At 43.4% G+C, this 23,401-nt stretch overlaps 1 pseudogene, besides 1 other annotated feature; it reads left to right on the top strand.

Annotated features, from left to right (window-relative positions):
- Positions 1,598–1,892: a silencer, noted in NCBI's record as "tiled region #15462; K562 Repressive DNase unmatched - State 13:Ctcf". NCBI's record gives its function as "represses a minimal TATA promoter and a strong SV40 promoter by Sharpr-MPRA in K562 cells {active_cell/tissue: K562}" and the evidence as "EXISTENCE:reporter gene assay evidence [ECO:0000049][PMID:27701403]".
- RPL34P27 (ribosomal protein L34 pseudogene 27) lies at positions 18,047–18,470 on the top strand (annotated as a pseudogene).

Below are 23,401 nucleotides of genomic sequence, written 5' to 3'. Positions count from 1 at the left end.
TTTGTTTTTTTGAGACACAGTCTTGCTCTGTCACCCAGGCTGGAGTGCTGTGGTGCGATCTTGGCTCACTGCAACCTCTGCCTCCCGGGTTCAAGCAATTCTCCTGCTTCAGCCTCCTGAGTAGCTGGGACTACAAGTGCATGCCACCAGACCCAGCTCATTTTTGTATTTTTAGTAGAGACGGGGTTTCACTATGTTGGCCTGGCTGATCTCGAACTCCTGACCTCGTGATCTGCCCACCCCAGGCTCCCAAAGTGCTGGGATTACAGGCGTGAGCCACCGCGCCCGGCCTATTTGTCATTTCTTTGTGTTAAGAACATTCCAAATCTTCTCTTCTAGCTATCTTGAAATATGCAATATTGATAAGTACAATCATCCTACTGTACTGACAAACACTAGATCTTATTTCTTCTAACTGTATGTTTGAACCCATTAACCAACCTCGCTTTATCCCTCCTCTCCCCCTACCCTTCCCAGCCCCTGGTAACCATCACTCTAACCTCTTCTCTATGAGATCAACGTCTTTAGCTCCCAAATACAAGTGAGAACATGCAATGTTTGTGTGTGCCTGGTTTATTTCACTTCACACAATGATCTCCCGCTCCATGCATGCTGCTGAAAATCACATGATTTCATTCTTTTCATGGCTGACTAGTATTCCATTGTGAATATATATAACATTTTCTTTATCCATTCATTCATTGATGGATACTTACGTTGATTCCACATGTTGGCTATGGCAAATAGGGCTGTAATAAACATGGGAATGCATATATATCTTTGATATACTTACTAGCTTTTGGGGGGTATATATGCCTAGAAGTGGGATTGCTGGATCAAATTACCCATAACTTTATTTACCCTGCAAACATTTATTGAGCACTTACTTTGTGGTAGACTAACACAGAATATAAAAGTAAAAAGATACTTAGTCTATAGGATGGAGACAAATGTGATAAATGATTAATTAAATAAGATGTAGTGAGTGCTTTGGTGAATCTTGCTCAACCTGGGCATAGAGGAGGGGGCAGTGAAGAAACCCCCCTGAAGAGGAGACTCCCAAGCTAGGTGAAGAAGAGGGAGAGGGGGTTTAAAGCAGGAGGAGGGGACTCTGCAAAGACAGACCAGTCTGAAAACACGAAGGACTGAGAAGTCCTCCTGACTGGCAGGCCACACCTGGAGAGCGGCTGTGGAATGGAGCTGGGAAGAGCATTCAGCTGTTGCTAGCATCGTCTGCCAAGGTCAAACTCTAGAAGATAACTCCATTGGGAGTTTGCAGATGGCCTGGACATGTTGGATGGAGGGCAGACAGACCAGACAGAGAATACAGGAGAAGCAAACTGAATATTTTCATTTGTATCTCAATTAATTACATCATAAACTGTCATCCTCCCAAACCACATCTGACACTTCCCCAACCAAAATAGGCCAGAATTCCTGCAGGATAAAATTCACTGTTATAAGATCAGTGACTATTTGCAGAATGCAACAAACAAATCAACAAAAGACTTCTTTTGAAATTTCCAATATTATTAAAGAAAAAAACAGAAACAATGTTTTTAGTTGTGAGGTATATGTGTTTAAAAAATGTTTAATGCTACCCTAATATTCTGAAACAGAAGGATGCTGCCATCTGGTGCTCAGCCACTGTTTTGGGAGCAAGTTATGAGGAACAGAAAACTACTATTCTTTTGGCCCAGATGTTTTATTTTCAGCTAATGCATAAATTCTTACACAGTGCAGGGGGAAAAAATCAAAGTTCGTGATAGAAAAATACATAAAATTTGAAAAAACAAATACAGATATCATGGGTGGAAAAGCTGCAAGGATCGCATTGGAAGCAAGTGTGCGCTGCCTTCACAAGCTCGGGGACAGGACTGAGAACGGGAGAAATGTCTCTCATGCCCCCTGCTGTCTACTGGCCTGACCTGCAGCATCCAGAGATTTTTCAATCATTTTAGAGAAAATCCTGTCGATTTTTCCTTTAACCCAGAACAATTTACATCACAGTGAATTTTAATTCATCATCCTTATTTACGAAAGCTTCCTCCTCCTTTTTTATTATTATAACAATAAATATTTAAGCGCGGTAGGCAGAGGCCTGGTGCTTGCTGATGGCTGTGTGCATGGAATTCACTCTGGCTGCAATGTGGGGGCTAATTAAGGATGCCAAGAGGAGCTCGAGGACGTGATGAGGTGCCTGCTACCCGTGAATAAACGCGGGAGGTCTTCTGAAATAATTACTGAGAGGACAGGGACCAAGGCTGCGTGTGTATACACTGCAGTAGAGTGTGGGAAAGAGAAGACCAGTGCTGAGCAGAGACCATAGCCAAAGAGGAAAACCGTGAGGACAGGAGGAGAACCAGAGGTGGGCACTTGGCGGGAAGCCCTTGTGTACACTGGACCATGGGAGGAAGAAGAACCTGACTGGACCCGGAATTCAGTGTTGCTCCATCTAGTTTAGATGTAAGACACACAGTAGAGTAAGCATCTCTCAGTAAACAAACGAGAGGCCATTAAGAAAAGAAAAGAAATCCCATTTTAGAGAAGCAATCAAATAATGTGGTCAAACTAGTGAAGAAAATGGTTTACCTATATCTGCTCTTCCAGTTGTACTAGCAGCTTCTAAAATTTGATGTTCAAAATTCTTTTTTTTCTTTTTCTTTTTCTTTTTTTTTTGCGACGGAGTCTCGCTCTGTGGCCCAGGCTGGAGTGCAGTGGCGCGATCTCGGCTCACTGCAAGCTCCGCCTCCCGAGTTCACGCCATTCTCCTGCCTCAGCCTCCTGAGTAGCTGGGACTACAGGCGCCCATCACCACGCCCGGCTATTTTTGTTTTTGTTTTTGTTTTTGTTTTTTGTATTTTTAGTAGAGACGGGGTTTCACCGTGTTAGCAAGGATACTTTCGATCTCCTGACCTCGTGATCCGCCCGCCTCGGCCTCCCAAAGTGCTAGGATTACAGGCATGAGCCACTGTGCCCGGCCTAAGATTCTTTTAGATCTAAGAACACGAAAAAACTTAAAACCCACACCACAGACTTTGAGGAACTATGTTTCCCGCATGTGGTTTTGGTGGGAAGAGGAAATAGAACCACCACAACTCAATGAATCTATTTATTCACCTGTTCCTTGGAAGCCCAATCTCCTCCACCTCCTTAGCCTTGAGACCAAACCCCCAGCACCGTGCCCGCTGCACATGAGATCTCAGTAAATGTTTGTTTATAGGATTTGAAGTGACCAAGGTAAAATGACGCAAGGAGGTCTCACAGACCCAGAACAACGACCACTATTGTATCATGAAATACTCCACAACTCTTTTGTCAGTAGGTTGGATATTTTTGTGAAGCAACTCCTCATGTGCTGATATTTATCCACCCTTCTACCATATTTCCTCAAGAGTACCTTATTGTCAGTCTCCACCCACTCCCTCTTCCCCTCAATGAAAAAGTATTCCTGGGCCGGGCGCAGTGGCCCATGCCTGTAATTCTAGCCCTTTGGGAGGCCGAAGCAGGCAGATCACCTGAGGTCAGGAGTTCGAGAGTAGCCTGGCCAATATAGTAAAACTCCATCTCTACTAAAAATACAAAAATTAGCCAGGTGTGGTGGTGGGCACCTGTAGTCCCAGCTACTCAGGAGGCTGAGGCAGGAGAATTGCTTGAACCTGGGAGGTGGAGGCTGCAGTGAGCTGAGATCATGCCACTGCATTCCAGCTGGGCCACAGAGCAAGACTCCGCCTCAAACAAACAAACAAAAAAAGTATTTCCAGCAGAAAGCCACCTGTTCATTCTTTCCTACACTGAATTATTATAATCACAAAGGCAGTGCTTTTCAGAGCACAATTAGTGTGGCTGCTCAAAAACATCATAAGGCATAACAGCTAACAAAACTTATCTTACTAATAAAAATCACAAGATAATTCAATTGTATTCAAAGGAAGAAGAAACACTATTTTTTTTTTTTTAGGCAGAGTTTTGTTCTTGTTGCCCAGGCTGGAGTGCAATGGCACCATCTCAGCTCACCACAACCTCTGCCTCCCAGGTTCAAGCAATTCTCCTGCCTCAGCCTCCTGAGTAGCTGGGATTACAGGCATATGCCACCATGCTTAGCTAATTTTTTGTATTTTTAGTAGAGATGCATTTTGGTCAGGCTGGTCTCGAACTCCTGACCTCAGGTGATCCATCCACCTCGGCCTCCCAAAGTGCTGGAATTACAGGCTGGAGCCACCGTGCTTGGCCAGAAACACTTTTTATTGACTAACACCCCTGGTTTGACTTAAGTGAAGTGGGAAGAATGGAAGAAGTGGGAAGAATGGAAGCAGGTTTAAGTCCACAGCTTCCCGTGCTTCGTGCTTTCACGGTCCAGGGATAATATTTTCAAAACACAGCGTCTCTGCCCTTTTGAGATGCAGCAGACGAACACGACAGTCACGCCTTACTTTCTCCCAAGAATTAAAAGAATGTGAACTATGCCTGGTAAAACAATCTTCGGCTATACCCACTGAATGAACCCAGGAACACGGTGTGTCATCGGGAGAGGGCAGCACACTCCCCCTGGCTACGTCCAGAAGCTGGTTTTCCTTTGAGTCTGCTGAAGAGCTTCCCGAGGCCTCACTCCACCCTAAAAAGCCCAGAGTTACAAGTGTGGGTGGCCGTGAACTGTAACCGGGTGGCTCCCCAAAAATCAAGGCTGACTCCTCATGCAAATTTCAGGACCACCCTGGATATTAAAACAAACAAACAAACAAAAACCATATAGCGAGTTCTCTTTTCTGGGACCTGGAGTGGTCCTGGCTCCCACCCGCGTAGAAATGATTCCTCAATGTGAAAACTCCAAGAAGCCTTACGGGCAGGTGGCTTTCTTGGTTCTGCAGAAGTAAAATCCTTGAAGCGACTTATTCAGGGGTATCTAAATTTTTGTTTTTATTTTTCTAAGTATTAGATGTGGCTGGTATTTCTGGGCATAGTTCCATAAACGTCATCTTTAGGATAACTTGACAAATCCTGACCTGGCCAGATGCAGTGCACACACCTATAGTCCCGGCTACTCAGTTGGCAAGAGGCTGAGGCAGAATGTCTCTAAAGTCCAGGGTTCGAAACAGCCTGGGCAACATAGTGACGCCTCATCTGAAAAATAGTTCATGAAAAAAAATACTGACATGAGGGGTAAAAAACCACATTCAGGAAAAGCCTGATCTTGCAGTTGGTGTGTAATCGCATATTTCCCAGTGAAGATTGCATTTTATTTTGCCTAAGCTGGGGATCAGCAGTGGAGCATGTGCAGAAGTCAGCAGAGTGGAGGAAACACCCAAAGCCACATGCGGCCGGTGGCTGGCCTGTATTGAGAGGAAAATGACAGACCATGGGTTCCATCTAGTGTCCTATTTCTTGGGAAAACCAAACAAACAGCAAACAGAAAGCCTGAGCAAATAGCCTTGAGAACTGCAGGCTGGCAAGAGATTGCAGACATGTTACCTCCAGAAAGTTCTATCCCAAGAGGGAGCCTTAAAAAATAAAAGTCTTCCTAAGCAGAAAAGACACTTTGGCAGGGAGTTTTGGAGCAGGAAGTTTTCCCAAATGATTTACCTAGGGTGGTCCATAGTTGGGTTAGTTTTTGTGTTAGGAAATCTTTTCTCGAGCCTCCTGGCTGGGGACAGGGAATTTTTCTGGGAATTGACAAGACTCTGTAAAAACAAAGTATGTATCTATTCTCTGACCTGACCGTAAACTATATGAGCTCAGACAACAGACTTTTTTTTTTTTTTTTTTTTTTTGACGGAGTCTCGCTTTGTCACCCAGGCTGGAGTGCAGTGGCGCAATCTTGGCTCATTGCAAGCTCTGCCTCCGGGGTTCACGCCATTCTCCTGCCTCAGCCTCCCAAGTAGTTGGGACTACAGGCGCCCACCACCATGCCAGTTAATTTTTTGTATTTTTAGTGGAGATGGGGTTTCACCTTGTTAGCCAGGATGGTCTCGATCTCCTGACCTCGTGATCTGCCTGCCTCGGCTTCCCAAAGTGCTGGGATTACAGGTGTGAGCCACTACTCCCGGCCAACAGATTTTTGTTTCCTGCTGTCACCCCAGGGTCCAGCAAAATGTGTGGCAGAGTGTCTGCACAGGAAACATTTATTACAATACACATGCAGATTAAAGTATTGACGAATCATATCATACACCTGACAAGACTGAAAATTGCCCAAGTGAGCCACATGTCAGCTGAAGGCACTCTATGTGCTGACATTAAATTCACATTAACTGGCCAGGCACAGTGGCTCACCTCACACCTGTAATCCCAGCCCTTTGGAAAGTTGAGGTGAGTGGATTACTTAAGCTCAGGAGTTCAAGACCACCCTGGCCAACATGATGAAAACCCGTCTCTGCTAAAAGTACAAAAAAATTAGCTAGACATGGTGCGGACCTGTATTCCCAGGAAATCTGGAGGCTGAGGCAGGAAAATTGCTTGAACCCGGAGGTGGAGGTTGCAGTGAGCCGAGATCACATCACTGCACTCCAGCCTGGGCCACAGAGCAAAACTCTATCTAAAAAAAAAAAAAAAAAAATCACATTAACTTAACTCCCTCCCGTTCTCCCACTCCCCACACATCTTGCTGGGAGCTCAGCCCCTTTTAGAGATTTCAGTGAGTTGCTCTTGGTGACCCTGCAGACGTTCCCTTTTCACTCAGAGTCATTCTGTGTGTGCTGAACCCAGAATAGAACCCAGGCATTTTCCCCAGATTTCCCAAACACTATTAAGGTGGCAATGTGTTTTAGACATTAACTGAAGACTTGGGGGTTAATATTGGGGTTGTGTTATCATACAAATAGCAAGTATCCTAAGACCCCTGGAGATTCAGGCCTTGGTTTCCTTCTCTTCTTTCTCTCAACTCTCCTGAGCCAGCTCATGCAGCCTCCTGTAGACCAATGACTGAGAGCTCTGCCTGCAGTCCCTTCTCTGGCTCTCCATTTGTGCGCTCAGCTGCTCCCCTTACATCTCCATGTGGATGTTGCACAAGCTTCTCAGTCTTTCTTACTTGACAAAACCTGAAACAGTAGAAAGGAAGCTCCTGCTGCAACGTGCTCAGACCCCAGGAGGCTGCTGCACTGCATGTTGTTGCGATAAGACAAGGATTTTACTAAGCAGTGATGGGGGCGACTCTCTTTTCAACGTATTCTGTCATTTCTTGGCTTCTGCTTGGTTCACTTCATACACGTCGTTTCACAGCATTTCCCAAGCATATTTCTCTACTGCCAAGCTATTCTTCTCTGAACTTATAGAGGGGTGATAATGTTGGTTAGGTTTCTTGTTGTCTTTGTTAATACGAAAACACAACTCACATACTGGAGGAGTTGCCAATAATGATCATGGCCACCAGTGCATGGGACACCTTCTTAAGCTGCAGATAATTCTTGTGCTGGGTACACTAGCATGGTGGGCCCATGAGGGTTCTGTATTCTCTTCCAGGCTTTTCTTCTCTATTCTTGTCATGCAATTTTATGATGCTCCGGACACATTTCAAGTGCATCTTAGCCACCTTTTGAGAGTATTACCAGCTCCTGCCCCTTTGTCTAAGAGAGGAAACTACTTTGCCACTGACAGCCATTTATCACGTGATCTGGAGTTCTCCAGAAGTGTTTAAACATGTGATGTGAACTAGAGTAACTACGTATTATCCGGTTCATATTACCAATGGCTTATGTGTTCATGTTAGAATTAGGTCTTGGGTAAAAACTAGAAATAAATTGTAAAAACGCACTGATGTTTTTTATAGCGCCAGTGTAGATCAACCTGTGATCTTTCAAAATAAGAACTGACTTAAAGAACTGCCTAACATTGATGGTGAAATTACTTCTCCCTCAAAGTTTAGGTGGTTTTCTGTTTGTATGTTTGCTTTTTGCATGCTCTAATGTTTAAGGTTTATGAGGGCAAAAGTTTTAAAGGTTTGAAAATGATAAATGCCAGTATTTCAAATATGGTAATCTGGTACTATTTTTAAAGTAATTTATGTTAGGTAAATTGGGATGACTTCAGCTGCAATAAACAGAAGCCCCTGACTTAAGTGGCTTAAATAATAAGACAACTTATTATTAAGGGTGGCCCAACTGCTGATTGAGACAGCCGCTCAAAGGTTTCACTGCAGGGACCCAGCTTTTCCCATCGCTCTGTTTCACCGTCCTGAGCGTTGGCCTTGCCTCCACCCAGGCTGGCTCCTCTTGTGCTCACGTGTTGCTACAGCGGTTCCAGGTATCACATCCAGGTACAGAAACATCCAAAAGAAGGAGGCCACCGCTCCTGGTCTCCTTAATAGGAAATCAATCTCTTCTACAGGCTTTTCTGCAGAACTCCCCTCTAATCTCATTGGCCAGAAAGAAGTCACATGCCCACTTCTAAGCTAATCACAGATGCAGAAAGAGAACCGTCATAATTGGCTTAAACCAAAAAAAGGGACATAAAATGATATGGCTCCGATGATTAGAAGAACACCAGGGTCCTTGGTCTCACGCTGATTTAGAGAAAATGACACAGACACACGTGGAGTGGTTTTAAGGAGCAGAGAGCTGGTTAGGCAAGAAAGAAGGAAGGAAGAAGAGAACAGATCACCCATACAGAGACAGGGAGGGGGGAATTCAAACAAAGAGAAACCCCGTGTGCAGCGGAAAAGTGGTTGCTTATATTGGGATGTTGGAGGAGGCGGTGTCCGGTTTGCACAGGGCCCAGGGGATTGGTTTGACCAGGTGCGTCGTTTACGTAGCCCACAAAGAACCTGGCCCTCCCACCTTAGTCCTTTAATATGCAAATGTGGGTCGCCATGATGTTCTGAACACATGGTGTTATCTGGAGTTGGCCATGACACTTGGCACACATCGTGACAAGAGGAAAAAGGTGGGAATCGCCATATTAGGTGGACTGTTTCTAATGGCCTGCATTTGCATATCAAAGCTTGCCAGCTTGGCCCTTCAAGTCGTTTTTCTGTTAGAAAAGAAATGGTTTGGGGGTTGCTTTTATTAAAAGAAAAAGCCTTACCAAGAACTTCGTTTACCATCTCTATCTGCCTAAAAATTATTTCTTAATAACTCCTGTATTATTTCCCCCAAGATAAGCAAACCTAACTACTGTTAGGGGGTGTTGAACGATGATTCTTTTGGCTACTTCCCACTGAAAAGGGGCGTCATGTGGAGGAACAGCAGCTGGGCCTTCTCCTGAGGTTGATCTAATGGTTCTTGGAAGAACGGCGTGTCCATGTTTGGCTCTGCTCGCAGCACCATTTGGAGTTTGATTGCTTCTAGGCGAAAAGAGATACATTTTACAAGAAGATTTAAAATATAGGGTTAGAATATGAGCATTAAGATTACCACCGTTAGTGGGGGTCCTATAGACCTTAACTGACAATAGAGTTTGGTACCTGTTAGTTACACCAATGGATTGCAATACCGATTTGTCTGCACTAGATGTCGCTGTACATTACCAGAAACGTTAATATAAAAGTAACATTTTCCTTGAAAAATACATCCATTTCCCTCTTGACTTGCCATTAGAGAAGAACTTGCCTTAGGCCATTTTTATAACTTTCAATATGATTGGGAGAAATACATTGGGTGGCTAAAATAACTTTAGCATTAATCTTGACAATTCCTTTTCTTTATTAAATTTTTTCATGACTTTCACAGACCCTCTTACAACATACTTAAACTTTATGACTTGTCTTAAACATCCTTCATTTAAACAACCAGCCATTTCCTTCAAGGACAAGTATTTACAAAACAAAATCCTTTCTTATATAAAATTTCTTTCTTTATAACCTTTTTAAAATAACTTACAGTGCATTATATTACCAACCTTTAGTAAAAAGTCCTATTAAACTTAATGATAGCAAAACTTTTATGCTTACTTCTTATCTGTAACTATTACTCCTGCTGTAATCAAAACAACCTTGACTAAATTTCTCCTGCAATTATTAATCCTGTTATAAGGATGATAATCAGCCAAAATATTACAGCAATTAGAATTTTACAACCAGAATTCCACACTGTATAGTCCAATTGCAAATAGTGGCATGACTCTAACAATTTCCACAAGAGTGGGGTAGTAAATAATTTTCGTTTAAAACTTTACTTGCCAAGATATAACATTTCCCTTCGAGGATTTACAAGGTTACAAATGGAATCCCATGTATAATCAAAATTTCCCTGCAAATATGCATTAAAAAGAAGTTCTAATATTTGGGGGCAAATTTTGAGAGGAAAGGGCAGAAATGACAAAAAGCATCTGTTGATGTAAAGGTTGGGCTAAGATGAGGAGCCCTCACTCAGTTACTTACCTTTTATGATTTTTAGTGTAATATCTTCTATTTCTTCCTCTGGGCTGTCAGGGGTTGCTCCCTTGGCTCTTCAGGCTTTGGCTTGAGTGTGATGTATCCAGGAGTTGATTCTTGTAACTTTTACTGCCCAGAGGGTTGAAAGAAGAACAGTGTAGGGCCCTTCCCAGCTTGGCTTAGGGAAGGAAAGAGATGAGAGTTTTCACTAATGCCTAAATTCCTGGATTATATAAAGGTGGTTTTATTTCCTGGAGTTGGGCTTCTCCTAGCTGTGTTAATTCCTGTTGGAAATGAGCTAGAGAGGTTACATTCTTTTTTTTTTTTTTTTTTTTTTTTGAGATGGAGTCTTGCTCTGTCGCCCAGGCTGGAGTGCAGTGGCGCCATCTCGGCTCACTGCAAGCTCCGCCTCCCGGGTTCACGCCATTCTCCTGCCTCAGCCTCCTGAGTAGCTGGGACTGCAGGCGCCCGCCACCATGCCCGGCTAATTTTTTGTATTTTTTAGTAGAGACGGGGTTTCACCGTGTCAGCCAGGATGGTCTCGAGTTCCTGACCTCCTGATCCGCCCACCTCGGCCTCCCAAAGTGCTGGGATTACAGGCGTGAGCCACCGCGCCCGGCCGAGAGGTTACATTCTTAACCAATTTAGAGGTTCTCTGCCTGAAAACAATCTCTGAGCACATTGATAAGTTGTATCCTTTCCCAAGTGAAAAGCTTGGCGAAGGATTTTAAGGACTTTCATTGGCTGGAGGCTGGCAAATAGAGTTTGCCATCCTGACTGTAGGCATCTGAGGGCTGAAAAGTATGCGCTTGAGAAGTGCCCTATTCTATTTCTGCAGCAGAATACTGAGGTTTAATTTCTTTTATGGAGCCCTCCTAGACTAGAAAGGCTTGAAGTGTATTAGTGCCTTGAGGCTTCCTTGCCTTTGACTTAGCTGCCTGATCAGCTAATCTATTTCCTTCAGCTACCTCATCCGTTCCCTTTTGATGTTCCCTACAATACTTACCTGCTATCTCTCATGGTAGAAAAACTGAGGTTAATAATCTGCTAATTTCCTGGTGATATTTTATAAAAAACTCCATTAGTGGTAAGAAAATGCCTTTCCTTTTAAATGGCAGCATGAGCATGGAAAATCAGGAAAGCATACTTGGAGTCAGTATAGATGTTATCTACGTTTCCCTTGCTTAATTTAAGTGCTCTTGTAAGAGCTATTAGCTCAGCTAACTGAGCGCTCGTGTTTGGGGAGAGTGACTATGTACTTCTTTGCTTTACCGGCCGTTTGCTAGCTAAGAGCTCCCCCTAGAGGACAGTGATCTTGCCATATTATGTGGGATGTAAACAGTTATTTCCTAGGCTTAACTTGAAGGCTTTTCTGACTAGTAGAGCTATCATGATAATGGCTTGGAAGCATGTGTAAATAGGTCCTCCTAACTACAACTAAGGTTGAGAAAAATATTGGATTAGAGTTTTTCCTGAGATGCTACTTATGGTCATGCTATAGGAAGAGGGGAGGCCTAGATGAGAGAGGAGAAGAGAGAGAGAGACTGGCTCAAATGTTTAGAAGGAGGTCTACTTTAATTTTCTTCCTCCCTTCCTTTGTGCTGTTAACATATATTTTTACTTCCACATATTATAAACTTCACAAATTTTTGTTAGTTTTGCTTTAAATAGAAATAAGATATTTATTCAAATGAGAAAATAAAATGATTTTATATTTGTACCAGAATTACTATTTCTGGAGTTCTTTATTCCTTTGTGTAGGTCAGACTATCCATCTCTTATACTCCTTCTGCCTCAACAATTTCCTTTACTATTTCTTTTGGTTCAAGTTTGTTAATGATAAAATCTCTATTTTCTCTGAAAATAACCTTCTCTTTCCCCTTCATTTTGGAGGACAGTTTTACTAGCTACAGAATTTAGAATTTCTTTCAGCAAATTGCCTTTGGCTTTTCTGAGAAGTCATGGTCATCCTCTATTTGGTTTCCCTTTGATAACTTTATAACATGTTTTTCACCTTTGGCTGATTTTAATTTTTTTTGTTTTATTCTTGAAATTCAGTAAATTGATTATGATGTATTTTGGGTGTGTGTGTGTTTAGCCTGCTTTGGGTTGGTTGTGCTTCTTGAATCTTGATGTTTGGAAAATGTTCTGCCTTTATTCAACCACTTTTTCTGTTCCTTTCTCTATTCGCAATTCCAAAGCAACTTATAATGCATGTAAGACTGCTTGATATTGCCTCATAGGTAACTGAGGCTCTCTTTATTTTTTTGTTCAGCCTTTTCTTTGTGCTTTAGTTTGGATAGTTTCCATTGCTATGTCTTCAAGTTTTTATTTTTTATTCTGCAGTGTGTAATCTACTGCTAAGCTTATTCAGTGAAGTTTTCATTTTATATATTGTATGATTCAGCTCTACAAGTTTTGTTTCTTTTATTATGGTTTCCATTTCTCTCCCTATCATATTATCTTTAATACCTTAAACATATTTACAATTGCTGTTTTAAAGTTCTTGCATGCTAATTCCATCAATCCCTGTCATTTCTGGGTCTGCTTCCACTGACTTACTTTTATCCTGATTATGGATCATAGTTTCCTGCTTTGAACAGCATTTTTGACTGGATGTTGGACATTGTGATTATTACATTCTTAAGTGTCTGGATTTTATTTTCTTCCATTAAATTTTTTGGTTTTTTTTGAAGGCAGTTAAATTAGTTATGGAGCCCTTTGATGCTTTAGAGGCTTGTTTTTTCTTTAACATTTAAGATAAACTTTGTTAAAATAATATTAAAAGTCTGGAATAGTTCTTGCTTTAGTGCTAGTTTTGTCCTGCTTTCAAGGTATGGCCCTTGCGGGGTCTCTGCGGAATATCTCAAGTATTCATCAAGGTCTTTCCACTCTGATTGGCTATGGATGGCACAGGCTTGGTGGAAGAGAAAACCTGGAGTTTGATTTTGGACATGTGAAGTCTAAAATATCTATTAGATAACAAAATGGGGTTACTGAATGGGTAGTTAGAAGTTTGAATTTGGGATTTGAGAAGGAAGTGTGGGTGGGCTGCACATATACATTTGGGGGTTATCAACATAGAGTTGATATTTAAAACCATGAGACTAGATGAGATTATCAGTGGAGTATAGACAGAGAAAAGAAAAAAAATTTGAACAGATCCGTGGGACATTCAAATATTAAGAGATTGGGGAGAAAAGGAGGAAGTCAGCCAAAATAAAAAAAGAGTGACCTATGAGGTAGCAGGAAACTCAGAGTGTGGTACCCTGGAAACCAGGTAAAGAAATGTCCCAAGGGGAGGAAGCCACCTACAATGCCACCTGCTGCTGGTAGATCAACTGGGATGAGGAACAAGAAGGGACCAGTAGATTTTAGCAACATGAAGGTCGTGGGTGACCAACGTCAATTGAATGGTGAGAGTGAAAGCCTGAATGTAGTGGATTTAAGAGAGGATGGGAGAAGAGGAACTGGAGGCAGTGGGCACAGATGCTTTTATCAAGAACTCCTACTGCAAGGGAATGTAATGACATTAAGTGAAATCTGTGGTCAAGGGAAAGTTCCGCTTTTTAGGACAGCCTGTTGTGTGTGCTGGTGTGAATGATCCTGCAGAGAGTGGAAAATGGATGATGTAGGGAATAGGAGAGAATTGCTGGAGTGGTGTTCTTGAGTAAGCAAGAGTGGGTGTATTCGATGGTGCAAATAAGATGGGCTTTAGACAGGTGTGAACAGTAAAGCTGTGGGAAGGCAGAGCGTGTGGGTGCGTATTGCTGGAAGGAGAGGTGTGGTGAGAGCACAGAAGAGGTCATTTCTTGTTCCAGTTTCTCAGGGAAGTAGAAATCAAGGTCACAGTTGGGAATGAGGATGGGAGAGATGTAACCTAAATCCCTAAGATTCATGCTCTGCCTGATGTGTTCTTGTCCTGGTTCATTTTTCACCTTCTGTTACCGTGCAGCTGTTTCTTCCTAAATGTCTCTAGGGATTTGGGAAAAGTGAAGTAGTGGGTGTAGGGCAGGCTGCAGGAGCAGTGTGCGTATGTGTTTGTGTTTGTGTGCAAGAGAGACATAGTGATCCATCCAAAGAGGCCTAAATCTCAGTAATACCAAAAAAACAACAATAAGATAACTTAGAATGTTAAAATTCTACAACTTTCAGTGAACACCTGTCACAAAAAAGAGCGGGAGCAAGGAAGTCTTATTTCCGACAAATACCAGGTGTTCTTTTATTGTTACTACCTTTTTGTTTGACTTTTCTCTTTCCCAGTACAGCATTCAGCATTCACATGGCCTAACTCAGCTCACATAGGGCTTCTGAGCCTTCTATTGAGGCACTTTTTAGATGTATTGCTTATTAAAGGAGGGGGAATAGGGAAAATGAAATAACCTTAAAGAGTTTTCATACCTAAATGGGTTATATTAACTCTATACCAAAAAAGTGTATGTAAATTTTCTTTTGGTAAAAATTATTTGGAGTCAAACACCACTTTTACCTTTAAAATGTTATATTGGGAATCTGCTAGAGGATGTTGAAACATCAGGATTTTACATTTAAGAATTTTATGATTTAGGAATGAGAGTTCAGGAATGACTTTCCAAATTGCACTTACTTTAGGCCAAGCACAGACATTTGTCAAATCTAATTGAGCTCTCCTTCTCTATGAGAACTACCTTACTTAAATAAAAAAGATAATAATTCAGGTAGTTTTCATTTTTTTATATTTGTGTAAGATATACATAACAACATTTCCCATCTTAACTATTTTTAAATGTACAGTTCAGTGGCATTAAGTACATTCACGTTGTGTGAAACTATCCCCAACATCCGTCTCTGGAGTGTTTTTCATCTTGCAAGACTGATACTTTGTACCCACTAAACACCAACTCTCCATTCCTCTCTCCTCCCAACCCCTGGCAACCACCTATCTACTTTCTGTCTCTGTGAATTTGACTACCATAGCTTTCTCCCATACATGGAATCATGCATATTTGTCCTTTTGTGTCTTGCTTATTTCACATAGTGTGATATCCTCCAGTAGAATGACCTTTTAATTACTGATTCTTCTCATGAGTAGATGGGGTTTCAATGGCATGGGCCACTTTACAGTGCATTACTTACGTGGGACATTTAGATCAAGAGAGCTGTTCATGAGGACATTGTTGGAGGGTGACTTAGGTGATTGGGGAGTTATTCTCTTCACCCTGGGAATAAATCAATCAGCCTGGCTTTAGTTCATTGGAATAGATCTCAGAGGAGTTTATTGGAAAAAATCAAGTTGCAAAGGGAAAGTAAAAAACTGTACTCACGTTTTGGAGACTGTTCATATATTTAAAATAAGATAGGCTGGGCGTGGTGGCTCATGCCTGTAATCCCAGCACTTTGGGAGGCTGAGGCAGGCGGATCACTTGAGGTCAGGAGTTTGAGACCAGCATGACCAACATGGTGAAACCCCGTCTCTACTAAAAATACAAAAATTAGCCGGGCCTGGTGGCACACGCCTGTAATCCCAGCTACTGCGGAGGCTGAGACATGAGAATCACTTGAATCCAGGAGGCGGAGGTTGTAGATTGCACCACTGCACTCCAGCCCAGGCAACAGAGTGAGACTCTATCTCAAAACAAAACAAAACAAAAGGAAATAGAAAATTAAAGCAACAATGAGATCCTATTATATATCTATTAAGATGGCTAAAATCCACTGTCTCCACTATGAACACCAACAGGAACAGCAACAGGAACTCTCATTTCTGGTGGGTATGCAATATGGAACAAGCACTTTCAAAGACAGTCTGGTGGCTTCTTATACAACTGAATATATTCATACCATACAATCCACCAATTATGGTACTTGGTATTTACCCAAAGAATTGGAAACTTATGTCCATACAAAAGTCCATCTGCACACAGATGTTTGGAGCAGCTTCATTCATAATTGCCAAAACTTGGAAGGTGAATAAACTGCGGTATATTCAGATGATGGAATATTAATCAGCACTAAAAGGAAATAAGCTATAATGCCATGAAAAGGAGGCATTGAATAACATTAAATATGTATTATTAAGGGAAAGAAATCAAGAACAAGATCATGTCCTTTGCAGGAACATGGATGGAGCTGGAGGCCATTATCCTAAGCTAACTAACACCGTAACAGAAAACCAGATACCAGATATTCTCACTTGTAAGTGGGAGCTAAATGATGAGAACACATGGATACATAGAGGGGAATAACGCACACTGGGGCCTATCAGAGAGTGGAGGGTAGGAGGAGGGAGAGGATCAGGAAAAATAATGAATGGGCACTAGGCTTAATATACCTGGATGATGAAATAATCTGTACAACAAACCCCCATGATACAAGTTTACCTATGTGACAAACCTGCATTTGTACCCAGGAACTTAAAATAAACATTAAAAAAAGAGGCAATTAGGATACAGACATGTAGAGAGGGAAGTCTGCAAGCCAAGGAGAGAGGCTGCAGGAGAATCCAAACCTGTCACTTTGATCCTGGACTTCCGGGCTCCAGGACTACGCAGCAATAACCTTCTGCTGTTTATGCCCTCAGTGTGTGTAACTTCCTTATAGTAACCCCAGCAAACGCATACATCATCCAGACTAGGTAGGCCATTTTTCTAAAATATTATTAAACTATGTCAAATATTTAAACACTGTTTTGTAAAATACAAGCTGAAGCGTTTGAACAACGTTTCCTCATTTGCACATTTATGCGCCAGTGAATTGCTGGTTGACATATTCACAGGTTTAAGCATATGGCATCTGGTTCATTTCATATATGGTTGGTTTCATCACACTGAATTCTGTTGTCACTTACATTAAGTCCCCAAAAGACCTTTTCATGAAATGTTAAGGAGAGATCATGAAATAATGAAATCAGATAAATAAACAATTGAATCTGGTGAATCCAACCAGAATTAAAAGTTGTCGTATTAGGGTCGAGTTGTACTATTTTGAGTGATAGTAACATATTATAGAATGAGACATAAACAAGATGCATTCCTAATTATATGTGTCTGTGCGCGTGTGTGTGTGTGTGTGTTGATGTACAAAATCTGGACAAAAAAAAAGTTTTCTTAAAGAACTATTTGAAGGCAAATAGTTCTTCAGTTAAATAGTTCTTCAAATAGTTAAGAAACTATTTAATAAATAGTTCTTCTTTAAATAGTTCTTCAAACAGTTAAGAAACTATTTTAAGTTTCTTAAAGAACTATCGGAAAGTGGATAAGAACAGGCAGAAACTGGAAGAGTGTCCATCTGTAAGGGATGAGCGTTTTCAGGTTTTCCGCTGCGGCTGATGTGGAAAGTAGTCTCTCTCACTGCCTTGAGGGCTCAGCGGATGGAGGCGGGATTCCTAAATGGCTGGAAAATGAGCGGGGGGAAAACGCCAGGTTGAAAGGAGCAAGGGTGGGGCGCGGTGGCTCACGCCTGTAATCCCAGCACTTTGCCAGGCCGAGGCCAGGGATCGTGAGGTCAGGAGATCGAGACCATCCTGGCTAACACGGCTAACACGGTGAAAACCCGTCTGTTCTAAAAATACAAAAATAAAATTAGCCGGGCGTGGTGGCCGGCGCCTGTAGTCCCAGCTACTCAGAAGCTGAGACGGGAGAATGGCGTGAACCCGGGAGGCGGAGGTTGCAGCGAGCCGAGACTGCGCCACTGCACTCCAGCCTGGGCGACAGAGAGAGACTCCATCCCCCGCCAAAAAAAAAAAAAAAAACGAGCAAGGGAGCGCTTCCGGGAACGTTGTCTGCAGGCACTCAGAATGGTCCAGCGTTTGACCTACTATCGTAGGCTTTCCTACAATACAGCCTCTAACAAAACTAGGCTGCTCCGAACCCCTGATAACGGAGTTGTGTACTTTTATACCAAGAAGGTTGGGAAAGCACCAAAATCTGCATGTAGCGTGTGCCCAGGCAGACTTTGAGGGGTTCGTGCTGTAAGACCTAAAGTTCTTAGGAGATTGTCCAAAACAAAGAAACATGTCCGCAGGGCCTGTAGTGGTTCCATGCGTACTAAATGTGTTCGTGACGGGATCAAGCGTGCTTTCCTTATCGAGGAGCAGAAAATCGTTGTGAAAGTGTTGAAGGCACAAGCACAGAGACAGAAAGCTAAATTAAAAAAACGAAACTTTTTTGAATGATAAAAATGAAAAGACTTAAAAAAAAAAAAAGAAAGGAGCAAGGGAGGGGAGCCCTAAAACCTGTGTATAAATTCCCCCAGGTCTTCAACTGACCTCTCAGCTGTGCCTGAGTGGGAGAGAGTCCAGGGAAACTTCCAGAAGGAGCCAGCTGGAGTGCTGAGGAGGACAAGGGGGGAACCAGAAAATAAGATGTAGTAAATCTCAAAAGGTTGACATTTCGGGGAGCACGTTTTCTGACCACAGTGAAATTAAACTAGAAATCGACATCTTGAAAATCTCCAAAAAGCTATAGTGGGCATTATTGGGCAATTGATGAGCTTTGATTATGGGCTGAGGATTAAGGTAATAATATTGTATCAGTGTTAAGTCTCCGGATTTTGATAATTACACTGTGGTCATGTACAAGATGGTCTTTGTTTTTGAGCATTCAGAGGTAAAATAGCACAGTCTGTAGGGGGAGGGACAGGGAGAGAGAAGGGAGGAGGAGGAAGAGAGAGGAGTGAAAAAGCAAATGGCATAAAATGTTAAACAATGGTTGAATCTGGATAAACAGTATATAGTACAATATAGGTACTGTATTTGCAACTTCTGTGAAATTTTAAAATTATATCAAAATCTACCCTTTAAAAAAAAAGAAAAAAAGAAAACCTAACTTGCATCCTATTTTGCTTCTATTTACTTCTGGAATTGTCGGTATAGGAGATAAGAGGCAAGACGTTCCATAGCGCCCCACCCTGACACCCAGCTGGGAGGGGCTGTGAATGGTACCGTGGGGATCATGGCCAAACAGCAGACAGGAGACAGGTGCTTTGTCACCTAGCGCAGAGGGCAGACCAGGTCCCCACAGCTCCAGCCCCCTCCTGAGCACCATCTCACCATTACTGGGTTATTAAGTGTACGGCAGCAAGGTCCTTGTGCTAAACTGCAAAGCACATCACAGAGCCCAGAGGCAAGGATTAGTGTCTGCTAGACAAATAACCAGCTGCGATTATCATCTTGTTCAAAGTTTAGAAACATCTAGATAGGAAAGGTGAGAGAGCAATTGTCTCTGAATAATGAGTTTTTGTATGGTGGCAGAAGTTGGGGGCGTTCAGAGGAGGTTGAAGAGGGGAGGGAAAGTTGCCACCCACGAAGAACCCTTTAGAGAGCAATATTGACTTCATGATCTGCCCCTGTCTTAGCATTTCCTGCACATCCCCCATGCACCACACTCCTCAGACAGGTTCTCTTCTGTCTTTGAAGCAGGCATTAACTCTGTGCACGCTGGTGGTCCTGAAGTGCCTCTCTGCCATCTTCCTGTGTTTGGGAGAATTCCCCCTCCTGTGTCTCAGTGGGAGGCAGGGACTGACTCCCACAGCAGAAGATAAAAATGCCAGGGACTTGCTTCCTTAGCCTTCCTTGCAGTGTAAGGTGGGATGTGAGGCAGCCAATCAGAGGCATTTGCCCAGAGTCCCAGGGACCCCCAAGGACCTCTCTCGGGCAGCTGGCACAGTGACAGGCCATGGAGACCCTGGGTCAGCCGTGCAGGTGTAGCGCCCAGCAACTAGGACCCTCAGCGACTGCAGCAGCAGCATCCCCGAGGACCGGTCACGGGCATGGTTCCCACACACCCAGCCACTCTGCGACTTGCCAGACATCACGTGTACAATCCAGTGGCATTAAATACTTTTCCAATGTTGTGCAGTCATCACCACTATCTAGTTCTAGAACTTCATCACCCAAATGGAAACCCCGTACCCAAGAAGCAGCCGCTTTCACTCCCCCCTTCCCCACACGGTCCCTTGCAACCACTAGTGCATTCTGTCTCCATGGATTTGCTTTTTCTGGATGTTTGATATGAATGGAATCATACATTATGTGGTCTGATTTTCTCTTTGAATGTTTTCAAGGCATGTTGTAGCGTGTATCAGAGCTTCAGTCCTTTCTACGGCCAAACAATATCCCATTGCTTGGATATATTATATTTTGTTTACCCATTCATTTGTTGACGGACAGTGGGTTGTGTCCAGGTTTTGGCGATTGTGAATAGAGCTGCTATGAATATTCATGTACTAGTTTTTGTTTGGAGATCTACTTTCCATTCTTTCAAGTATAGACCTAGGAATGGAATTGCTGGGTCATGTAGTGATTCTATGTTTAACTTGAGGAGGAGCTGCCAAGCTATTTTTCCCAGTATCCTTTTAATACATTATTTTCTCCTTCATATAAACAGAGTTTATTTCTGTTGTTTGCAACTAGGAACCCTGACTGATATCTTATTCTCACCTTACTGATGGGAAACCTGAGGCTCAGGATGACTGAGTGGTTTGTCCAAAGCTCCTGGCTGGATCCAGGCTACAAATCCCTTACCAGTTTGCTGCTGAGACTCTAGGACAGTGAGATTCCCTTTGCATCTTAACTCCTGCATAAATAATACGGTGTGGTGGTTCCCAACAGGGGTCCCTGGAGGCCAAGGGCGCCATGAATTATTAACCAGGGTCTGGGAGCTATTTTGAATATTTCACTAAGTGTAATGGAAAACCTCCACTTTCACACAATGAAGCTGTTCAGGCTATCTAAAATGCCAAGTTTCTTTGCTTTTGGCAGAAATTAAATCAACTCATGGTGATAATAAGGGTTATTGCCTGCTGATCAGAGACTCTGGCTGGCAGTTATGTATATCTTTGATTAATTTTAAAAACGGGAAAATGAATATGTTATTACTTGATAAATGCAGTGTTTGGTGAATGAAACTCTTCTTCTTTTTTTTTTTTTTTTTTTTTTTGAGATAGAGTCTCGCTCTGTCGCCCAGGCTGGAGTGCAGTGGCGCAATCTCGGCTCACTGCAAACTCCGCCTCCCAGGTTCACGCCATTCTCCTGCCTCAGCCTCCCGAGTAGCTGGGACTACAGGCGCCCACCACCACGCCTGGCTAATTTTTTTGTATTTTTAGTAGAGATGGGGTTTCACTGTTTAGCCAGGATGGTCTCGATCTCCTGACCTTGTGATCTGCCCGCCTCGGCCTCCCAAAGTGCTGGGATTACAAGTGTGAGCCACCGTGCCCGGCCATCTTTTAAAACATGGGGTCCACAGGGAGATAAATCAGACATGAGTATCTTGGTGATAAGAAAGTCATCAAAGCCTTGAGAACATGTCCTTGTCTGTCTCCTGGGGCTCTGGGTCTGAGAGTCTTGATTCTGCCGCTGACAGCTCAAATCTTGTGCAAGTGACCATGGGTGTCCCCTTCTCTGCCACAGAGGGGCAGACTTACCATTGCTAAGCTTCCTTGCGGCTGTGGTGTCTTGTAATTCTAACCCACCTATGAAGGGAGGCAGCGATGAAGAGGGGAGATAATTCATTTTTTCTAGATGGCTGTGGGGCGGTTTCCCAGGGAAGCCAGAAGCTGAGCTGCCCGCAGGACACAGCAGTGACCAGAGATGGGAGGTCCTGCACACACCCCAGACTCTCTCTCCAGATCCCTTCTCCTGCTGTATCTTCTGGCTTGCAGACGGCCACTTTCCTTCACCCCTGACCTCTGCCCTCACCCATGTCCCACCAGGCCATTGCCAGGCCCTTTCTGTCTCTGGAGTTCTGTCCTCTGGATCAACATCTCTCTGTCCCCAGGCTGTCTCCCACAAGGTCCCCAGCCGGCCTCTGAGCCTCAGGCTGGGCTCCTGAGCATTCACCATATGCTTCCCTGGCCGGCATCACAGAACCCCGATATCTTTGTTTTGTCTTTGCTAACAGTGGTGTGGTCACATCACACCTTACTTGGTGTAAGGTAAGCTAGTAAGGTAAGGTGTCATGAAGCAGCTGTGACACCTGCCCTCCCAGCACACCTCTCACCATCCTTCCTAAAGCCTGTACCAGCAGCAGGGAGCCACATACGGCCTCCCAGATGGCTAGGCTGTTCCCGACCTCCAAGCCTTTGGGTCATCCCTAATTGCTTTCTTGACATTTAGCTTGAAAGAGTGACAAAGTGACATTTTAACTCCTGGTGATACATATTGGTCCTGACGACAAATACAGTCAGCCCCAGTGGGCTTCTGTGTGATTTTGAACCCACCCCTCCACCTCTCTGGGTGCTGAATACGCTCATCACCTAAAAGAACATTTACCGTCTACCTAACCATGAGCTATGGACATAATTAACGTTTGTAAAGAGCCTAATAACGTTCAAAGGAATGGTGCCCAGCAGTGAGTAAACAGCTCCATGAAGTGCCAGCTCTGGAGGGCAGTCTTGCATGTCATGAATACCAATGTCTTTGACTGATGAACCCACAAACAGGCATTCATCAGTCAAAGACAATGGTCTGTGAACTCTTGCAGTTCATGCCTTGTGTGGGCATCAGACCTGAGATTTACTGTTTAATGGGTCTATTTAATATCTATCCAGAGATAGCGTCAGATCCCACAGGGGGAGGGCTCAGTCTCCAAGGGTGCCCCTCAGCCCTCAGACACCAGTCACAGGGCCAGGCCTCCAGAGCTTCTGACCCATTGGCTTCAAGTTGGGATTCCTACAACTCCCACTTTGTGTTTGATTAATTTGCTGGAGCGACTCACAGAACTCAGGGAAACATGTTTACCAGTTTATTTTAAAGAATGTCGCAAAGGATGCAGATAAAGAGATGCACAGGACGAGGTATGGGGGAAGGTGCCGGGAGCTTCAGTGCCCTCCCTGGGTGCGCCACCCTCCAGGAACCTCCATGGGTTCAGGTATCTGGAAGCTCTCAGAGCCTGTCCTCGTGGGTTTTTATGGAGGCTCCAATGCAAGGGCATGCTTGACAACCATGCGGAAATGTGACTGGACAGAAAGCGGATGACCTAAACCCAGCAAGGCCGGCCTGCTCAGACTTTTCTTGGCCTCTCTAAGCAGCATTCCTTCTCCTAGGGTATGGGGACCTTCTGTGGAATGAGGGTTTTTTGATCCACAAATAGATTAGCATCCCACTGTGGGCAGGTGAAAGAA

This window comes from Homo sapiens, chromosome 13 (genome assembly GCF_000001405.40).
Source record: "Homo sapiens chromosome 13, GRCh38.p14 Primary Assembly".
Lineage (NCBI taxonomy): Eukaryota > Metazoa > Chordata > Mammalia > Primates > Hominidae > Homo > Homo sapiens.
Note: the sequence above shows the minus strand (reverse complement) of the source record. Positions and strands in the feature narration are given on the sequence as shown.